At 40.4% G+C, this 20896-nt stretch overlaps 1 protein-coding gene across 2 annotated transcripts in view, besides 1 other annotated feature; it reads left to right on the top strand.

Moving 5' to 3' along the window:
• The window catches only part of GABRG3 (gamma-aminobutyric acid type A receptor subunit gamma3), a 570804-nt gene that overhangs the window by 39648 nt on the left and 510260 nt on the right, over positions 1 to 20896 (top strand). For both annotated transcript variants that reach the window (NM_033223.5, NM_001270873.2), the window contains exon 3: positions 15926 to 15993. In NM_033223.5, the coding sequence (NP_150092.2) occupies positions 15926 to 15993 (68 nt within the window). The remainder of the gene's footprint in view (positions 1 to 15925; positions 15994 to 20896) is intronic.
• Positions 11059 to 11560: an enhancer, noted in NCBI's record as "OCT4-NANOG hESC enhancer chr15:27267034-27267535 (GRCh37/hg19 assembly coordinates)". NCBI's record gives its function as "activates a minimal SCP1, AML or CMV promoter by ChIP-STARR-seq in naive H9 embryonic stem cells {active_cell/tissue: H9 hESC(naive)}" and the evidence as "EXISTENCE:reporter gene assay evidence [ECO:0000049][PMID:30033119]".

Genomic DNA, 20896 nt, shown 5'->3' on the forward strand with positions numbered 1-20896 from the left:
TTGTTTTTGTTTGTTTGTTTGTTCGTTTTGTTTTTGATATGGAGTGTCACTTTGTCGCCCAGGGTGGAGTGCAATGGCGTAATCTTGGCTCACTACAAGCTCTGCCTCCCGGGTTCCAGCGATTCTCCTGCCTCAGCCTCCAGAGTAGCTGGGATTACAGGCCCACACCACCATGCCCAAGCTAATTCTTGTATTTTTAGTAGAGTCAGGGTTTTGCCATGTTGGACATTGACAGCTGGACTCGAACTGGCTGGTCTCGAACTCCTGACCTCAAGTGATCTTCCCGCCTCGGCCTCCCAAAGTGCTGGGATTACAGGTGTGAGCCACTGTTCCCGGGCAAACACTGAGATTCTTATTCTTACTTTAAATTCTAACCACAGCATCTACTTTTTCAATTCTGCAACTCTCTTAGGACTTTCAGAAATGTTCTTTATCTTTATTGTGACGTGTACAACTTTGACACTTTCTTCAGAAGGACCCATTTCTCTGTCTGCTTCAATGAAATATCTTCTCCTCTCTCACTGTCCCCTTCCTGGCTTCTCTTCCTCCTTCCATCACCCATATTCCTGGCCTTTCAATACATTATCTTTCAGTCTCTTCTCTTCATTTTATACAGCATTTTATTTGATAGTAACACCAGCCTTTGTGGCTTCAACCCCCAACCTCATGTATTAAAATATGTTTTCCAATCTGCTAGTTTAGCCTAGGTCAGGATACTACTTAGATCTACAATTCTAGGCTGGGCGCGGTGGCTCACGCCTGTAATCCCAGCACTTTGGGAGGCTGAGGCAGGCGGATCACAAGGTCAGGAGATCGAGACCATCCTGGCTAACACGGTGAAACCCTTTTTCTACTAAAAAATACAAAAAATTAGCCGGGTGTGGTGGTGGGCGCCTGTAGTCCCAGCTACTCAGGAGGCTGAGGCAGGAGAATGGCGTGAACCTGGGAGGCGGAGCTTACAGTGAGCAGAGATCATGCCACTGTACTCCAGGCTGGGCGACAGAGCAAGACTCCGTCTCAAAAAAAAAAAAAAAAGATCTACAATTCTAATTCACCTCTGGAAAATTGAGGTGCATGGCTATTCTGTCAGATTCTTGAAGTTCTCACATATAGACTCTTAACACATTTTCATTGAGTTCAGTAGTGGTGGATAACTAAATAGCTTACTTTTTCTGCTGCTCTTTGTTCCTTCTTGTAGATCCAAGCTTCCATATGCTATAATTTATTAATAGTGTAAAGAATATTTTAAAATATTTTGAATACTGCAGATCAGATGGAGATGAATTCTCTATTATTTTTCTGTGTGAAGATGTTTATTTCATCTTGATTTTTGAAGGTCTTTTTTGGGGGTACAGAATTATAGGCTAATATGTTTTTCTTTCAGTACTTGAAAAAATCTCACACAATTGTTTTTTGATTTCTGTTGTTTCTTATAAGGTGTCAGCCATGATCTTAACTATTTTTGTTATTTATGCAATGTACCTTTTGTTGGGCTCATCTTAAGAATTGTTTCTTTATTAACTTTTCAGCAATTTGATAATGATGTGCCCAGGTATGGTTTTCATAATGTTCATCATTCTTGGAGTTTGATGAAGTGCTCAGATCTGTGATTTGATGTCTTTCATCACTTTTGGGAAATTCTTGACTATAATCTTTACAGATATATTTTAAAATCTCAATATCTTTTTGTGGGATGCATTATATATGTATTCTCTTTGTAATACATTAGATGTTACTGGGTTGTGTGCTTTTTCAAGGCTGTATTAACTCTATAGGAAGGAATGGATATGGGGAGTGAATCACCATATCCAAGGTAGACTCTTCTTTCCCACACCATAGTCAATCTTTATCTCAGTACCTGGTTTTATTCCTTTCATAGTACTCATAACTATAAAAAACAGCTGGTTTATTGATTAGTTTACTTGTTTAATCTCCGTTTCACGCACTGTGATTTAAATGCTAAGAAAGTGGAGACTTTGTGTCTTGATTATGCTCTGTCCTCAGACATTAGAACTCTGTCTAGCTCACCAGTCATCCACTAATTATTTGTAGAATGAATAGTGGTAAGCAGAAAGGCAAAAACAAGATTTACTTACCACTTACACTAGAAGGGAGGCTGTTAAAAGGTACGTATTAATAAAACCCTTCAAACAGTTTATAATACTGGAAATGTTTGAACTGTAAGAATAGATTGGAAGGTGAAAGAAATTTGAAATAATTCAGTGAAAAATAAAATATTTTGTAGTAGTTAGGCTTATCAGCTGTAATGGAATCATAGGACTTCACATCTGGATTTCTAACTACTTTAAGATACTTCATATGAGTGGAATCTTAACATATTCGTCCTTTTATACTTGGCTTATTTCACTTAACATGATGTCCTCAAAGTTCATCCACCTAGTAGAACATGACAGGATTTCTTTGTTTTTCAAGGCTGAACAATATTGTATGTATATGCCACATATTCTTTTTTCATTCACCTGTTGATTGACATTTCTGTTCCTTCTACGTCTTGGCTATTGTGATGTGCAGGAGTTTTTAAGTTTAATGTAGTCCATTTGTCTATTTTTGCTTCTGTTTCCTGAGCTTTTACTGTCATATCCAAGAAATTATTACCAAATTCAATATAATGATCTTTTCCAATGTTTTCTCATAGACATTTTATAGTTTTTGGTCTCATATTTAGGCTTTTGATCCATTTTGAGTTGAATTTTTTATATGATATATAGTAAGAGTGCTAACCTCATTCTTTTGCATATGGAGATACAATTGTCCCTGCATCATTTATAGAGACTGTCCTTTTCTCATTTTGTAGTCTTGGCATCATTGTTGAAATTCATTTGGCTACTTTATGCAAGGATTTAACTATGGGCTCTCTATTCTGTTCCATTGGTCTCTATATCTGTCTTTATACCAGTATCATGCTGTTTGATTTTGTAGTAAGTTTTTGAAATAGGAAGTTTCAGACCTCCAACTTTCTTTTTTTTCCCCCAGGATTGTTTTGGCTATTTGGGGTCCCTTGAGACTCCATATAATTTTGGAATTGGCTTTTCTATTTCTGCCAAAAATGCAGTTGGCGTTTATATTGGAATTATATAGAATCTGTAGATTGCTTTGAATAGGACTGACATCTTAACAATATTAGGCCTTCCAATCTGTGAAAGCAAGATGTCTTTTTACTTACTGGTGTTTTCCTTAATTTCTACAAACAATGTTTTGTAGTTTTTGGTGTATAAGTCCTTTGCCTCTTTAGTACAATTGGCGTACAATTATTCATAATAGTCTCACAATTTTTCTTATTTTTGTGACATCAGTTGTAACATTCTTTCATTTTTAAGTATCGTTATTTGAGTCTTCTCTCATTTTTTTCTTAGTCTAGCTAAGGGTTTATACATTTCATTGATCTTTTCGAAGAATCAGCTCTTGGTTTTGTTGATTTTGTTTCTATTTTCTATTTCCTATTTCATTTATCTCTGTACAATTTGTATTATTTGCTTTCTTCAGCTACATTTCTTTATTTTTTTTTTTTTAGTTTTTTGAGGGTGTAAACTTAGATTGTTGATTTGAGGGTTTTCCTCCTTTTTTAATGTAAGTCTTTACTGCTATAAATTTCTTCCTTTGTACTGCTTTTGTTGTAGCCCATAAGTTTTGATATGTTGTGTTTTCTTTATTTGTCTCCATATATTTTCTAAGTTCCCTTGTGATTTCTCCTTCGACCCTTTGGTTGTTTAAGAGTAAATTATTCAATTTCCATATATTTGTGAATTTTCCTGTTTTGCTTTCCTGTTGATTTGTTTCATTCTATTGTACTTTGAGTGATTTAAATCTTAAATGTGGTAAAACTTGTTTTGTGGACTAACATGTCTTCTATCTTTGAGAATGTCTAGTTGCACTTGAGGAGAAGGTGTATTTTGCTGTTGTTGGGTGGAGTGTTCTGAATATGTCTGTTAGGTCCAGTTGGTTTGTAGTGTTGTTCAAGTCCTCTGTTTCTTTGCTTATCTTCTGTCTGGTTCTTTATATAACTGAAAGTGAGATATTGAAGTCTCCTACTATTATCGTGTTGCTGTCTAGTTGTCTCTTCAGCTCTGCCAATGTTTACCTTATAAAATTGGGAACTCTAACGTTAGGTGTATATATACTTATGGTTGTTATGTCTTTCTTGTGAATGGACCCTTTTATTACTGAATAACAATCTTCTTTGTGTCTTGCGACAGTTTTTGACTTAAAATCTCTTTTGTCCAATACAAATATAGTCACCCTTGCTTTCTTTAGGTTCCCATTTGCATAGAATATCTTTTCTCATCCTTTCACTTTTAACCTATGTATGTCCTTAGATCTAAAGTGAGTCTCTTATAGACAGCATACTCTTTGATCTTTTTAAAATCCATTTAGTCAATCTATATATTTTAATTAGGGTTGTAATCCATTTACTTAGAAAGTAATTACTGATAGGGAAGGACTTACTGTTGCCATTTTGTTAATTTTTTTTTCTGGATGTATTATAACTTTCTGCCCCTCCTTTCCTCTCTTGCCGCTCACTTTCTTTTGTGTTTGATTTTTTTTTTTTTTTTTTTGAGATGGAATCTCGCTCTGTCACCCAGGCTGGAGTGCAGTGGCGCAATCTCGGCTCACTGCAAGCTCCGCCTCCCGGGTTCACGCCATTCTCCTGCCTGAGCCTCCCGAGTAGCTGGGACTACAGGTGCCCACCACCACACCTGGCTAATTTTTTTTTGTATTTTTAGTAGAGACGGGGTTTCACCGTGTTAGCCAGGATGGTCTCGATCTCCTGACCTTGTGATCCACCCGCCTCAGCCTCCCAAAGTGCTGGGATTACAGGTGTGAGCCACCGCGCCCGGCCGTGTTTGATTTTTTTGAGTGACCTGCTTTGATTCCCTTTTGATTTTCCTTTGTGTATACTCTATAGATATTTTCTTCCTGGTTACCATTACATGAAATATAACAATCTCTATTAAACTGATAACTTCAATTGCATATAAAAATTATATTTCTTCTGCTGTTGATTTCTTGTTTCATTCCATTGTGGTCAAATAAAATACTTTGAATAATTTAAATCTTCTTTATATGTTAAGACTTGTCTTAACAAGTCTTAAGTCTTGACATGTCTTTAAGACTTGTCTGCCCACACTTGATGTTGTTGATGACTCCACCTACCTCTTTGTATACTGTGTATGCATTAACGTAGTTTTATAATTACTTTTTATGCTTTTGTTTTTTAAATTCTATACCTGATTTAAAAGTAATTTTTATATATTTATATGGCTTAATGTTGCTGTTTATCATTCTTCCACTTCAATTTGAAGGACTACTTTCAGTATTTCTTATATAGCAGCTCTAGTCATGATGAACTCTCTCAGCTTTCCTTTCCTTCCCTTTTCTTTCTTTCTTTCTTTCTTTTTTTTTTTTTTGAGAGAAAGTCTCACTCTGTCACCTAGGCTGGAGTGCAGTGGCTCTATGACTTCAGCTTTACTTTATCTGAGAATGTCTTACATTCTTATTCATTTTTGAAGGAGAGTTTTTACCATATGTAATATTGTTGGTTGATTTTTTTTCCTTTCAGCATTTTGAATATATTATCCAACTTCATTCTGTCCTGCAAGGTTTCTGCTGAGAAATGAGGTTATAATCTAATACAAGCTCCCTTGTACATGATAAGTCACTTTTCTCTTTCTGCTTTCAAGATTCTCATTGTCTGTGACTTTTGACAGTTGGATTATGATGTGTCTCTTTGTAGATCTCTTTATTTTTATTCTACTTATGGTTCTTTTAGCTTCTTGATTATGTATGTCCATTTCTTTCCTCAGATTTGGGAAGTTTTCAGCCATTATTTCTTCAAATAGTCTCTTTCCCCCTTTCTTCCTTTTAAATTCGCATAATGCATATGTTATTCTGCTCAACACTCTACCGTAAGTCCCTTAGGCTCTCTCTGCTTTGCTTCACTCTTTTTTTTGTTTTTGCTTGTCTTGATAATTTAAAAAGTCCTGTTCTTAAATTTACTGGTTCTTTCTTCTATCTGATCAAGTCTGCTATTGAGTAGTTCTCGTGAATTTTTAAATTCGCTTAATGTATTCCTCACTCCAAGTAGTTTTGTTTGTTTCTTCTTCTTAGTTTCTGTCTCTTTTCTGATATTATCATTTTGTTCATTTTTAAAAATTTCATTAGTTTTTTCCATCTGTGCCTTCTTTTACTCCATTGAACATCCTTACGACAGTTATTTTGAATTATTTATCTGCTAATTCATATATTCCCATGCCTTTAGGGTTAGTTTCAGGATATTTAATTTGTTACCTTGGGCCCAGTCTTTGTGGTCTGGTTTCATGCAGGAAGGACTTTCACCAGTCAGCATGGCCAGAGACTCTAGAGACCTCTAAAGCCTTTTCTGGGGATGCGTACTCCCCGGACTTGCACACTTAATATATTAGGTTGGTACAAAAGTAATTTCGAAGAACCGCAATTACTTTTGCACCAAGTTAATAATGGGTGTGTTGCTTTCTACTCAGGGGTTCACTCTGATGCCTGTTTGTGGTACTGCAGTTTCTTTGGTGGTGTAGCAAACTGAGGTACTGGCACTCCCCCTACTGTCATTCCATCGTACTGCAGACTCTGGTGGTAGAACAAACCCTGTTCATTGCCTCTGTTGTGAGTCCACCAACCTGCCACTCTGTTCCTCTAAGCACTTAAATTCAGAGAACACAGAAACCAGTCACTTGGGCAGCCCCACAAAAAGTCGGAATGTTGAAAATATCCTACTCTTTTCTTTCTTTCCTCAGGGAGAAGTTGGGAATGTTCTGAACACACCCTGTGGTACTTGGCGGGAGGCACTCTGGCACGTTGTGTGCCAAGAATTTTCCTACGGGGACTTCTGTGTGGCTGGCTTTGCACTGGCCAGGGGTGCTGCAGAGACCTCTGAATTGTATTCTAGATTTCTCACAGAGGCAGTTGGTCTGTATCGTGTGGTTAAGTCAGTAGCTTCACATGGAAAGTAGGGTCTGGGGCTTTCTACTCTGCCATCTTGCTGGTGTCACTTTGTTCATGTCACTCAGGTACAGTGAGGTTTGTCAAGCACTGAGGATTTTCATACCATCCTCAGTGCCCTCTTTATTAAAGGCATAGTGCAGTTAGCCCTTCACATCTGCTCTGAACTCACAGCTCTGCTGGTCAGTGCAGTTCTGCATTCCCTGCCAGATGGTGGAAGGGAGAAGCTGCTATTATGAAGGGAGTTGTTAAAAACTTATCTTTCCTGTTATAACGAACAGAATTCATGTTTGGAAAGAGAACTTACTTCAAATATTCAGTTTATAGATGGAGAAAATGAGCCCCATCAAATTTAAGTGACTTTCTCAAGGCCATATGGCTACTTCAGAGTCAAATTTATAACATTACTAGACTTGGCAGATGCCTTCCTCAATTCTCTTATATTCTTATCATCAAATCCTTTCAGGAGGTGGAAATTTAGATCTGAGCTTTCGAGTACCTACCCATCAGAGCTCTGAAGGATTTGTGGTTCTGAACTTAACACCAGTGTTTTTATTCTTTTAAGAATAGGAATTCTCAAGGTCTTTTAATAGTATATTTTATATGAATGTGCAAAAATGTAGAATGTCACTGTTTGCCTCCTTCCCTGTTACTTATCATATCTGACCCACAGTGAAATGACAATAACCTTATCTTTATCTTTGTCAACTCTTGCTGGCCTTCTTGAGATCACATATTTAAAGGGTGTTTGGGAAAGGAGTGAGGGCTTTGGAGTTGACATCTATAGTTCTGGGATTAATGGAAATGGAATTAGCTGTAAACCTTATATTTAAGGGTCTGAGCCAAGTAAATTGGCCAAATTGGACCTTAACTGAGCTGGAATGGGACCTGTGATAGTGACTTTACCGTCTCAGGGCTTCAATACTAAGTTATAGAAAACATTTTTGCATGGACTCAGAGTATTGGCAAAACTGCAATATTGACCAAGTTTGCTTATCCCATGTACCTTTTACCCAAATTCTTCCACTTAGTCCCCATAATAGTATTCTCCAAGTTAGAAAAAAAGCATTTGAAAACAAATCTTCACTGAGATGCTGTGGATAGGTTTAATATAATCCTCAGAGACAGGGAATTTGTGTTTAAAAAATTCTTGAAAGATTATTTGTCACGATAATCATGATGATGATGGTAAAAAACAGTACTAATCCCATTGAAGTATTTGTTCCCTAGAGTCTTTTTTTTTTTTTTTTTTTTTTTTTTTTTTTGAGATGGAGTCTTGCTCTGTCACCCCGGCTGGAGTGCTGTGGTGCGATCTGGGCTCACTGCAAGCTCTGCCTCCCGGGTTCACGCCATTCTCCTGCCTCAGCCTCCCGAGCAGCTGGGACTACAGGCGCCCGCCACCACGCCTGGCTAATTTTTTTTGTATTTTTAGTAGAGACGGGGTTTCACCATGTTAGCCAGGATGGTCTCAATCTCCTGACCTCGTGATCCCCCCGCCTTGGCCTCCCAAAGTGCTGGGATTACAGGCATGAGCCACCGCGCCCAGCCTAGAGTCTCTTGAAGCCTCACTACCAAAATAGAAACTCCGGGAGGTTGAGGGTGGAACCCCGGATTCTCTGCTTTGGTGAAGCTGCAGAATCCCAGTTAAGTCACTCCTCACTCCTATTTTAACTTCCTCTCTGTAAAATGGGAACAGGAATGCTACTGCATACTGATTAAATGCAAACTGCTTATGACAGTGCCATGTAATAAATCTTATCATCCTTCATCTGTGGACATTAGCAGAGGGAGAGAAGGCAGAACTGAAGGAAGGTTGGTGATGGGGTGTAGGGGATCCTCTGCCTAATACATCATTGTGTTCAGTGGGACTCTTAGTTTAGGGAAAGGAAAGGGACAGATGAGCCCCCGTTCCCCACCCTTGTCCCCAAAAGCAGGAAAGATGGAAGGGAGGTTCCCAGTTATTGGAAGAGCCTCTTATGCGTTGGGGGCATGAGAGTTAATGTTATTTATTCATCTTCTGAAAATTCATGTGCTGATATTTAAATAATTACGTCATTTTTACTCTTTTCATGAAAACATAGAAACTTAAGTGCCTAGGGTGATTTTTAAGCATAAACATTATTTGAAAGGCAGCAAATGCAATATTTTGGCATTCTATTCTGCGTTTAATTCCAGGGGCCTTAACAACCATAGCTAAAAATTTACTGAGCACCCACTATTTACTGCGTTAACAGCCCGGCCCTCCACTCTCATCTTGAATTAGGTTCTGTTTTCAGCCTCTCTTCCACGTAGGGGAACTGAGGCACAGAGATCTGAAGAAACTTTTCGAGATGATAGAGCTGGTGAGCAGCTGAGCCCCCCTGCAGTCAGGCCGCACCCTCCATGGGCATGTCCCCTCACTTGACACGTCTGCTCAGAATTCCTCAGGGTCTGCATGCCTCATCCTCACTGCTGGTGTGGGGCAGCTCTTTAGGGATTCCCTTGCATGGACAGCTGTAAACACCTCGACCTCTTCCCCCTCCACCTTTTTGTCCTTGTCAACACCTATTGGTCCTGTAGCTCTTCTGTTGGAATCTCTGTTTCTGTTGTTTTCTATCTCTTTGTTTTTGAGACGGAGTCTCGCTCTTTCGCCCAGGCTGGAGTGCAGTGGCGCTATCTCGGCTCACTGCAAGCTCCGCCTCCTGGGTTCACGCCATTCTCCTGCCTCAGCCTCCTGAGTAGCTGGGACTACAGGCGCCCGCCACCACGCCCGGCTAATTTTTTTTTTTTGTATTTTTAGCAGAGACGGGGTTTCACTGTGTTAGCCAGGATGGTCTCGATCTCCCGACCTCGTGATCCGCCCCCCTCTGCCTCCCAAAGTGCTGGGATTACCGGCTTGAGCCACCGCGCCCGGCCTGTTGTTTTCTATCTCTCGCTTGTTTTTGAATGAATGTTCATGGTTTCATTTGCTCTCGCGATGTCACTCTCTACTTTTTCCTCTCCATGGAGGTGATATAATTTTTGTTGTAACAGATGATTATTTTTAGGAACATCTTTGTCTCAGACGATCTTTTATCAGCTCTTTTCCCGCTTGACTACTTGGGTCAGCTTGTAATCGTCATCATGTTCTAGGGGACATTTAAAAATTATTCTCTTTCAAAAGTAAGACAGTGCTAGGTAATCGGTAAGGTGACTGTTGTTTATAATAATCTATTGTATATTTCAAAATAACTGAAAAGGAATAATTCAGATGTTCCTAGCACAAAGAAAAGACAAATATTTAAGGCAATGGATATTCCAATGACACTGATTTGATCTTTATAGACTATATAAATGTATTAAATTAACACGTGTCCTAAAAATATGTACATCTGTTATGTATCAATAAAAAAAATTAAAAGAGAAAAGAACATATTTTTTCGTGTTGCAATTGGCAAGCTCATGAGCATTTAACATGTAAAGTTAAGTAATTATAACTTTACAACTGCAATTTTTACGAACCATAGTTATGCAACATCCAGGGGTCACCTACAGTGCCAGATGCTGTGGGAAGGGTGAGGGTAAATCACACAGACCTGCCTTCCAATGACCAGCTTTTCTTGTTGAGGGTGCTAAAAGGTGCCCATGACCTAAAAGTAGGAAGTAATCATACAAGGTAGGGATTCAGAGAAAGGAAATACATCTTTTCTTCTCCACTACTGTATGTTAAGTTAATTTCCCTAAAAGACCCCAGACACTTACTCGAAATTTATGTGAGTGGCTGAGTCCAGTGGCTTACACCTGGAATCCCAGCACTTTGGGAGGCCCAAGCGGGAAGGCTGTTTGAATCTGGAAGTTCAAGACCAGCCTGGGCAACATAGCGAGACTCTATTTCTACAAAAAAAATTAAAAAATTAGCCTGATATGTTGGTGTGTGCCTGTAGTCCTAGTTACTTAGGAGGCTGAGATGAGAGGATTGCCTAAGCCCAGGAGGTCCAGGCTGCAGCGAGCCATGATTGCACCACTGCACTCCAGCGTGGGCAACAGAGCAAGACCCTGCCTCAAAATAAATAAGTAATAAAATACAATAAGTTTAAAAATTTGCATGAGAACTATCTTTTGTAAGAGATATTAATCAAAAGACTCAACTCAGAAAGAACTAAGTGACTATGAATACTGGTCCTTGTGGCCCTGGATGCCTGCCACCTCCATGCTCTGGGGCTCTGTGTAAATCCATAGGCTCATTCCTCTGGGATGCCTTCCTGCCCTGCCACCTTCCCCTGGTAGATGACTGCAGAACCCATGCCCTATGAACGCATGCTGAGCCAAGCACAATTTCTCTGTCTTTTTTTCTACCCTTTTCTTCCCCCTCTCCTCAATTTTTCTAAAGTAAATCATGCTGTCATAAGTCTGGTTTTAGAGAGAAACTTCTTGGGGTTTTGAGAAGCCAGCTCAATACAACTTGCCACTTCACGCTGGAAAAGTTAGGAGAACATCTAGAATCAGATCAGCCAGGCTTCTTCTCTTCTTCTTATGAATCATGCCAGGAATTAACCCCATTTTAGAAGGACACAACTTGCTTATTAACCCACCTGACTTATTAAATAACATCTGTGCCCACCTCAGGGGGCCCAGGGCCAAATAAGGAACTATCAAAGTTAGCAAAATGAGACACTTATTACCATATGAAGATCATCAGGAGAGGGGCTGAGGCGAGTTTAGCAGGAATCTTGTACTATATTAAATGTGATTTTACCTGTCAAGTCCCAAAGGAATTGATGTCGGGAACTTTCTTCAAATAAAATACAATTTATTTCCTTTTGACCATGACAGGATTCCTTTAACGTCCACAATAAGCAAGGCAAAGCATCTGCTCACCCCTAGTTTTTGGTACGTGGCTCTAGGTGCATCCACAGACAGACCCGCCCGGCCCTGCATTCCTTCCCCAGCAAGGCTGCTGTCAGGTCCCCCTTCCCACTGGGGCTGTCTCCTCAGCTCATCATGATAGTTCAAATAGCCCTCCACCAAGCTCTCCTCACTGGCTTCTTCCAGGATGAAGACGGCCATGGAGAGTGGAGAAAAACAACCAAGCAAAGGTCTGCTTTAGTGTTGTGACAGAGGCAAAGAGAAAAGGCAGCCCATGTACTCCCCTTAGGACCACCTCAATCCATCAACGGAGCAAATGTGGCTGATGCTTGTTGAGGCTTAGCTGGCGGATCTTTGCAAGGTTCACATATGCTGCACAACTTATGAGTTTATGATTCTTCTCAGACATACTAATTCTCAATTCTTAGGAAATAATAGCAACCAGATAAGTAAGGTAGAATTCAAAGGAAGAATCCATTTTAAACCGAATGTATGGGACTCAGTTCCATCATCCCTATTTTAAAATATTCCTATTTCTTTTAAAAAATAGAATCTGCTTTCTTTCACTCAGAAAATTGCTCCCCACCACCCCATTTCTGGCTTTCCTACCTTCATATCCCCATCTTTCTCTTGGCTACATAGGGCTTATTATATTGTAGTAAAATACACATAACATGAAATTTGCCATCTTAACCATTGTTAAATGTACAGTTGAGTGGCAGTAGGTCTGTTCATATTGCTTTGTAGCCACCACCACCATCCATCTCCAGAACTCTTTTCATCTTGCAGACCTAAAACTCTGTACCCATTAAACAACTCCCATTTCCCCTTCCCCAGTCCCTGGAAACCAACATTGTACTTTCTGTCTCTATGAGTTTGAGTGCCGTAGAAGGCTTATATAAGTGGAATCATAGTATTTGCTCTTTTGTGACTATCTTATTTCACTTAGCATAATGTCCTCAAGGTTTATCCATGTTGTGGCACGTATCACGATATCCTTCCTCTTTAAGGCAAAATAATATTCCATTGTCTATGTATACTACATTTTTTAAATCCATTCATTTGTCGATGAGCACTTGAACTGTTTCTACCTTTTGGCTACTGTGAATAATATTAGCATAGCTATTCAATCTGTTTGAGCCCCTCCTTTTAATTCCTTTGGGTGTATACCCAGAAGTGGAACTACTGGATCATATGGTAATTGTATTTTTAGTTTTTTGAGGAATCATCCTACTATTTTCCACAGTGGGTATATCATTTTTCTTCCCACAAACAGTGCACAAGGATTACAATTTCTTCATATCCAGGCTGGCACTTGTTATTTTCTGTTGCTGTTATTGTTGTGTTTGTTTGTTTTTAATAGTAGCCATCCGAATGGGTGTGAGTGTTATTTTGTGGTTTTGATTTGCATTTCCCTAATAACTAATGATGTTTTCATGTGCTTATTGTCTGCTTGTATATCTTCTTGGGGGAAATGTCTATTTACGTTTTTTTGCCATTTAAATCAGGTTAGTTTGTTTTTGTTGTTGAGTTCTGGGAGTTCTTTATGTATTCTGGATATTAACCACTTATCAGAGATACAATTTACAAATATTTTCTCCCACTCAATGGGTTGTCTTTTCACTCTGTTGTGCCCTATATGCACAGAAGTTTTAAATTTTGTTATAGTCAAATTCATTTATTTTTCTTTTGTTGCCTGATGTTCTGGTGTTATATCCAAGAGATTGTTGTTAAATCCAATGTCAGGAAGCTTTCCGCCGTGTTTTCTTCTGATAGTTTTGTAGTTTTAGGCCTTACAGTTAGGTCTCAAGTCCATTTTGAGTTAATGTTTGTTTATGGCATAAGGTAAGGGTCCAACTTCATTCTTTTGCCTGTGGATATCCAGTTTTCCTAGCACTGTTGGTTGAAAAGACTGTCCGTTCCCTCATTGAATGGTCTTGGCAACTTTGTGAAAGATCATTTGTCAGGGTTTAGTCTTGAGTCTTTGAATTATAAACCTTCAGCTGCCTGTGGCCAATCTCCTTCTTGGATTCTACTGTCAGAGCCACTATTCTAATGCTTCAATTACGTTAGCATGACTGCTTAAAAGAGCATCTACTGGCCGGGCACAGTGGCTCATGCCTGTATTCCCAGCACTTTGGGAGGCTGGGGTGGGCAGATCACCTGAGGTCAGGAGTTCAAGACCAACCTGGCTAACATGGTGAAACCCCGTCTCTACTAAAAATACAAAATTAGCTGGGCGTGGTGGCAGGCGCCTGTAATCCCAGCTATTTGGGAGGCTGAGTCAGGAGAATCGCTTGAACCGGGAGGCAGAGGTTGCCGTGAGCTGAGATTGCGCCATTGCACTCCACCATGGGAGACAAAGCAAGACCCTGTCTCAAAAAAAAAAAAAAAAAAAAGCATCTACTAAAAGCGCTTCATTTTCCTTGGCATTTTGTGAGTGTGTGTGTGTGTGCGCACACTTATTGCAAACTCTTATCTCTTACACCCTTCATGGCACTGTTGCACTTATTACATTTGCCGCTGCTCACTGCAAGCTGTTAAGGCTTTATGTTTGTTGGTTCTTTTTATTTAATGATATACAAATCTCTGGAAGCCCAAAGTCTAATAAGTTGTATGAAACAACCAGAAATCTCTCTCACTAAATGTAGGTCCTTAACCAACTGACTTAACACCCTTTGGTATAGCATAATCAAAGGTTCTGCAGTATTTGGAGATGGAACACTTGTTGAATCCAATAATTTGAAGAAAGATGCTACCTAATTTCCATAGTAGTTAGCAAAGCTTAGTCTAAAATGAAGAGTACTCCTTTTATGAAACTTAAGCACCATATACATAGTGCATGGAATTGTGTTGGGGCATTTTCCAAAATGCCAGCTGCTCTTGCAGCTCACGTGACTTGGCTGTACTGACAGACGTTGTAGGAGTTGGTTCAAAGTCATTATCATTGTTTTCATTACGTGAAGGTCTGGGGATCGTTGCCCAGGGCACAGACCAGTTTATGTGCAATTTTACGAGACCGAGAGCTCAGAGCTGCCATTCATTGTTTCAAAAGTAGAGTGTGGAATTCCATTTGTGAATGTTCAGTTCTTCAGCACAATTGAAGGAAGCACATTCACATAATTGCATAGACTACACTCTTGTTTCTATAGAAACAGTCTGTTTCATGGGGAAAGGTTCAGGAGTCTTGTTCATATTCCTCCTGGGCAGAAATTTTCTGGAATTGGCTCTGCGTCATCCTTTGTCAGCCACTGAGTGCAGGGTGAAGGGAATGTCCTCCTTTCAGAGGACATCAGCCCCCGACTCAGAGGTCCGTGGGCTCAGCTGTCTCATTATCAGGCTTGCTCAGTTCTTTTGCTGCCATCAAAAGAGAAACTGGTTTCCCTTAAAGCCAAGTGAGCCAGGGTAGCCTCTGACATACGGCGTTAGAGAGATCAACCTGTGATTATATAAATGTTATGCCTTCATAGTTGAAACAGTAATTCTTTGACTTATTAACATTCCATTGTGTTTTGAGTTGGATTTAAACTCTGTGATGTATGTGCATATATGTATCTTTAAGTTATATTGATAACAATAAATAATATTTCTCATTTTTTATTGGTGTATAGACTCACTAGAACTTTGCCTTGAGTTGCTTTGCTTTGGAAGGATAGCTTGACAGCTATGTGGTGGACACATAACCCAACAACGTCACTGACATTGCTCCTCTCTTGTGTTGAGTTTTATAGCAAAACTTTGACATTAAATTACTCATGCAGTAGCTCACCTTGTATCTCCTATCTTTGCCATAAAAATCAGCTTAAGTAACGTTACGGTATATCTTTATAGTCTTCTATGACTGGCAAATTGCAGTGTATAAATATTCTATTTTCCTAGATAGAACTGAAAAGATACAAGTAAGAATCTCTCATCCTTCGAGAATTTTGAAAAGAAAGGCAGGCAGGGCTTGAATTATAATTACAAGAGAAGTCCCAAAGAAAGCCCTGCTCATGTGTGTTTCCACCATGTCCTTGTGATGCTATGTATGAGACTTTAGGACTTGAATGTGCTCTCCTCTGTCTTTCTCCGGCACGAAGTATTAACATACATGTATTTTTCTCCACAGTAAAACCGACCGTAATTGACGTTGACATTTATGTTAACAGCATTGGTCCTGTGTCATCAATAAACATGGTAAGAAGCTCCTTTATTTTCTGATCTAACGGCTGTTGCACCTCTTCTTGTTACATTCTCATTGTGGATTTCTGTTTGAGATTTATCATGCCGGTTTAAAACTCACACTGACTTCTTAAATCTGTAACACTTATTGGAATATTGAAAATGGTAAAAAAAAAAATGAAGAAAGATAGCTTGTGATGGTAGTAGCATTTCCACTTTTAGTTTCTTCTTTCAACATCCAAGAGACCTGTCTTTTATAGTGTTTCTTAGGAAAGGATTCGAGATCACTCAGATTATACTTTTGTCTTCAGTTTGGACTTTGAGAGTAAATAAACTGCCTCTGCTTTTTAGTATGGGATCAAATATGTGCTTTCCCCGAGTAGGGTATTCCCACAGGCTTATAAGCAAATTCAGCTCAAGAACTATTGGATGTGAAAGAAGCCCTTCCCTGTGCAAAAGTGCCTGGCTATGAAGTGAGTGTGGGGGTATTGAAATACGTTAGGGTGAGAGCCTTCTGTGGTGGGCTGAAGGCCACAGTCCACCTGCCAGCAAGGGGTTAACAGGACTACCTAGGATCCCCAAGCAGGCCTGTCTATTGCAGCCTCAAGCATTGTCAGGAGCTCCCCCCGCCTGCGGAGGTCCTGCCTGTGCTCCCTGCTGCACATTTGCTCCTGATTTGGGGAGACGTGAGGCCGAGGGAGGGGAATTGCCAAAATGCTGACTTAAATTTCTTCTTTTCATTGCAGTGTTCTGTGGATGGAAATAACCCCTCCAAAATTAGTAGCAAAATCGTTTCTTTTCATTGCCAGATTTTAAAAGTGTTCTTTTCTCTGGTGATATAAGGGTTCCATGCAGGGGTAAAGTTATATTTGTGGGTGATTCACTTAAAAAATCTCCATATCATCCCTAAACTGGAGCAAAGAAGTGGAATGAATAAAGGAGAATTATTTCACACAACCTATGTGCTGCAGATGGCTGTATATTAAAATCAAGTTGTGAGTGTAATATTCCCTTTTCCTGATACATCATTATTCAGTTGACTGCTCAGAGTAACCCTTTCTTATGTATGTTTCTTGTTCTGGAGTTTTATTTTCTTGCATTTGTTCCACAACCGTTTATTCAACACCTTTACGTCTAACATGTGTTTATGTCTAACACTCAAAGAAGAAGTGCCTTCCTGGATATATGGTTACAGAATTATTTCAGGAAGTCAATTGCATTTGCATATAGAGGGATTTTCCTGCAGGCCTTTAACTTTAGAATTTACTTTGTGCCTCGTGTTAGGCTTTGTTATTGGAATAGACGGGAATTTTCATGTGGAAATCACGGGCTGCAGAGAAGGAGGCCGAGTGAGTGACAGGCTCCTTCACGGTGATACGGCCCTGCTGCAGGAGTGGAAGGGACTTCTCCAGTGAGGTCCTCTTCATCTGAAACTTGACGGATAGGCAAGAGTGTGCTAGGTGGGATAAAGTTTGAAGGTCCTTAGTAACACAGGAGGACAGAGTGCGTCACACAGCTGGGGACGAGGGAGTGATGTGTGGAGAGATGCCTGGAGGGGCACATGGGGGCAGCTGTGACCAAGGCCCTGAAGCTGCAGTTAAGGGTCGGACCTCAGCCTTCTCTTCATCCAAAACAGATCCCTGCGTTTGGAAACTGTGAAAACCTTTTCCCATCAGAGATCTGAGCAGGTCATATTTCATGAGATTTGTTCAAATCCAGGCCGGGCACAGTGGCTCACGCCTGTAATCCCAGCACTTTGGGAGGCTGAGGCAGGCAGATCACAAGGTCAGGAGTTCGAGACCAGCCTGGTCAACGTGATGAAACCCTGACTCTACTAAAAATATAAAAAATCAGCTGGGCATGGTGGCAGGCGCCTGTAGTCTCAGCTACTCGAGAGGCTGAGGCAGAAGAATCGCTTGAATCCAGGAGGCGGAGGTTGCAGTGAGCCAAGATTGAGCCACTGCACTCCAGCCTGGGTGACAGAGCTAGACTTCATCTCAAAAAAAAAAAAAAAAAAAAATCCAGTAAGATCGCTAGTCAGACCCCTCTCTCCCTGAAAAAAAACAAAAACTACATGATGATGCAGAGCTCACATTAGGGACTTGAAATCATGAACTCTGATCCTTCCCTGTGGGGTGAGAAACGACCTTAGAATGGCCGGGGGCATTGTAAGCCCTGGGCCCTGGAGAAGAACACGTGTGCACCAGCATCCTGCTCATCTGGAGGCTGACACAGCAGGTTTCCAAGGCTGAGCTGTGGCAGGATGTGGAGTAGAAAGCTATTTTCTATTAACTCTCTCATTTGTAAAACTTGCCCTGAATATTTTGAAACTTCACTTAGTCCAGTTGGTTTTCTTTCTAGCATGGCTCTCTACCCTACTGAAGGGGTGGGGAGCCTGTGTGGCTGCCTGCTGCTGTGTGAGTTGGAAGCAGCTGGCACGCAGCCCTGGGGAAGCCGAATGCTAGCAAGTGCTTTCCTCTGCAAACAGCGCCGAGGCCGCAGTCAGCGCTCAGCAGGGATGGCACTGTCTAGGCCATTCTGGAGTCTGATTTCCTGAGGAAGACACAACGTACTACTAGCCTACCTCGGCTCAGCAAAGCATAGAGGGCAGGCAAGGATTTGTTTAAAATGCACACACACACACACACACGCATGCACACATGCACACACTCGTGCACACACACAGGCACACACGTACGTGTGCACACATGCATCACACGCACACATACAGGCGCACACACACGCACACACACGCACATTTATATGTTTAATTCCCATGTTCTCCTTGGGTGAGTTGCTGTGTGTCTCTCTCTGTTCCTTCACGCACATTTGCCATCCGACTAGTGTGAGGCATTGTCCTGGGTGAAGGTGAGACACGAGGAACCAAGGCCTGCTTTGGTGGGGCAAGTCTGTGGATGAGCTGAGTGCCACAGTGGAGGTAGGTTCCCTTCTAAGCAGCCCCGAGCTGGCAGGCTCTGGCTGGCCTGAGGGAAGTTTCAAAGCCCTCAGGAGGCAGGGGCCTCGGGGACCACTTCTGGAAGAATGAGTGTTTCTTACCTTTGTGCTGGGAATGCTTTGCTGGGACGCCAGAATGATAAGGGCATCTCACATTGCCGAGTGCATCACATAGACCCGCTATATCTGTGCAACCAAACGACGCAATTTTAAAAGAAGTAAAGGGCTTAAAAATGAAACACAGATCTTAGGAAAAATAATAGAAATTTTAAAGTAGAGAACTGACGGTGTAGGTGGGTATTGGGGATTGAGTTAGCAATAAAAAAGGATATAAGAAAGACTAAAACAATCAAAGAATACAAGATGAGAAGAAGCACAATTTAGAGATGCAGACAGGGTTTAAGGATGTAAATTTGTATTGGGGGTTTGACCGTAAAGGTAAAGCCTGGTAAAATTATGGCTTCTTGTCCAAATAGTCATTTAACAATCAATGAAACAGGGAACAATGACTATTTCACTTTCTCCTTCCTCTTCTTCCTCCTCCTTCTTTCACACTTTCTGCCTTTTATTGATATTATTAACACTGAAGATTCTGCCTCAGCCATTCCTTCTGTGGAGTGGAAATGAAGTTGTGTCTCAATCTATTGTTTAATAGATTATCTTTGTCTTGTTTATCCTGGAGCTGTTTATGCTTTTTCTAGTTATCGAGATTAGAAACGGGACCAGGGGAATGTTCCTCTACATGAAGCTTTCACAGCATCCTCTGCCTTTGTCGCTGCAACATACCTAAATGTGTAGCATTCATCAAAGAAAGTGTGTGTGGTTTGTTTCCACACCAGGAAAGCTGCATGCAAGGGGGCTTGTGAGTTTATTTTTGAGAATATCCACTTCAAGCAGCCTTTTAGGAAAGCAAAGAAGAAAACCAATGTTCTGACACTCTGTGCTATTGACCCCAAATCCTTTAATCTTCACAAGACCATAGTGGAGAAGATATTGACCTTCCTGCTTGTTTGAGTCCAGTAAGTGGAAGCTTGTGGAAGACATCTTAGAGCAAGGTTCTGAGTGTGACCTGCTTGGCAACAAAGCCCTGGCTTTGTTTCCTAGTCAATATGGACACACAGCAGCTGTACATACCTGTAGGGCCACAGCCTTAACATAGACACAAAAGGCTCAGTGTTAGGATTACTTTTCTGTGTTTTTTAAAAGAATTAAATTAATAAATTTTTTGAGCATTTTTAGGTTTACATAAAAATTGAGCAGAAAGTAGAGTTCCCCTATATATTTTCCTCTACACACACACAGACACACACACACACACACACACACATACAACACATAACACATTATTATTAACATCTTGCATTAGTGTATTGTATTTGTTACAATGAATGAATGCACCTTAATCCATCTTTATCATGCAAAGCCTATGGCTTACATTAGGATTCACTCTTGGTGTTGTTTATTTTATGGATTTCGACAAATGTCTAATGCCATGTATCTGCCACTATAGTATCTTAAGAACAGTGGCACTGCCCTTAAATCCTCTGTGCTCCACCTGTTTATCCCTTCCTATCCCCAGACGCTGGCAACCACTGATATTTTTACTGTTTCCATAGTTTTGCTTTTTCCTAAGTGTCACATACTTCAAATTATACAATAGTCAACCTTGTAGGATGGCTTTTTTTCCTTCGTTTTAAAAAGTACTGATACCAATTCATCTGAGGAAATCTAAGACTTGTAGCGAGCCACTGTAATGTGACTATAGCGTGACCATGTGTTACCAGAAATTGATGGGATGGCTCTGTGGATTGTGGGACAGGTCCAACATCACCAAATTATACTATATGATAGATCACCTACACATTTAAAACTGAAAAGATGACATGCAGCCAGAGAAATCATAAAGAACACATGAGGCCTCTCAACCCTATCTCTGCTCCATTCCACTTGTGGCTGAAGCTTT

This window comes from Homo sapiens, chromosome 15, assembly GCF_000001405.40.
Source record: "Homo sapiens chromosome 15, GRCh38.p14 Primary Assembly".
Taxonomy (NCBI): Eukaryota; Metazoa; Chordata; class Mammalia; order Primates; family Hominidae; genus Homo; species Homo sapiens.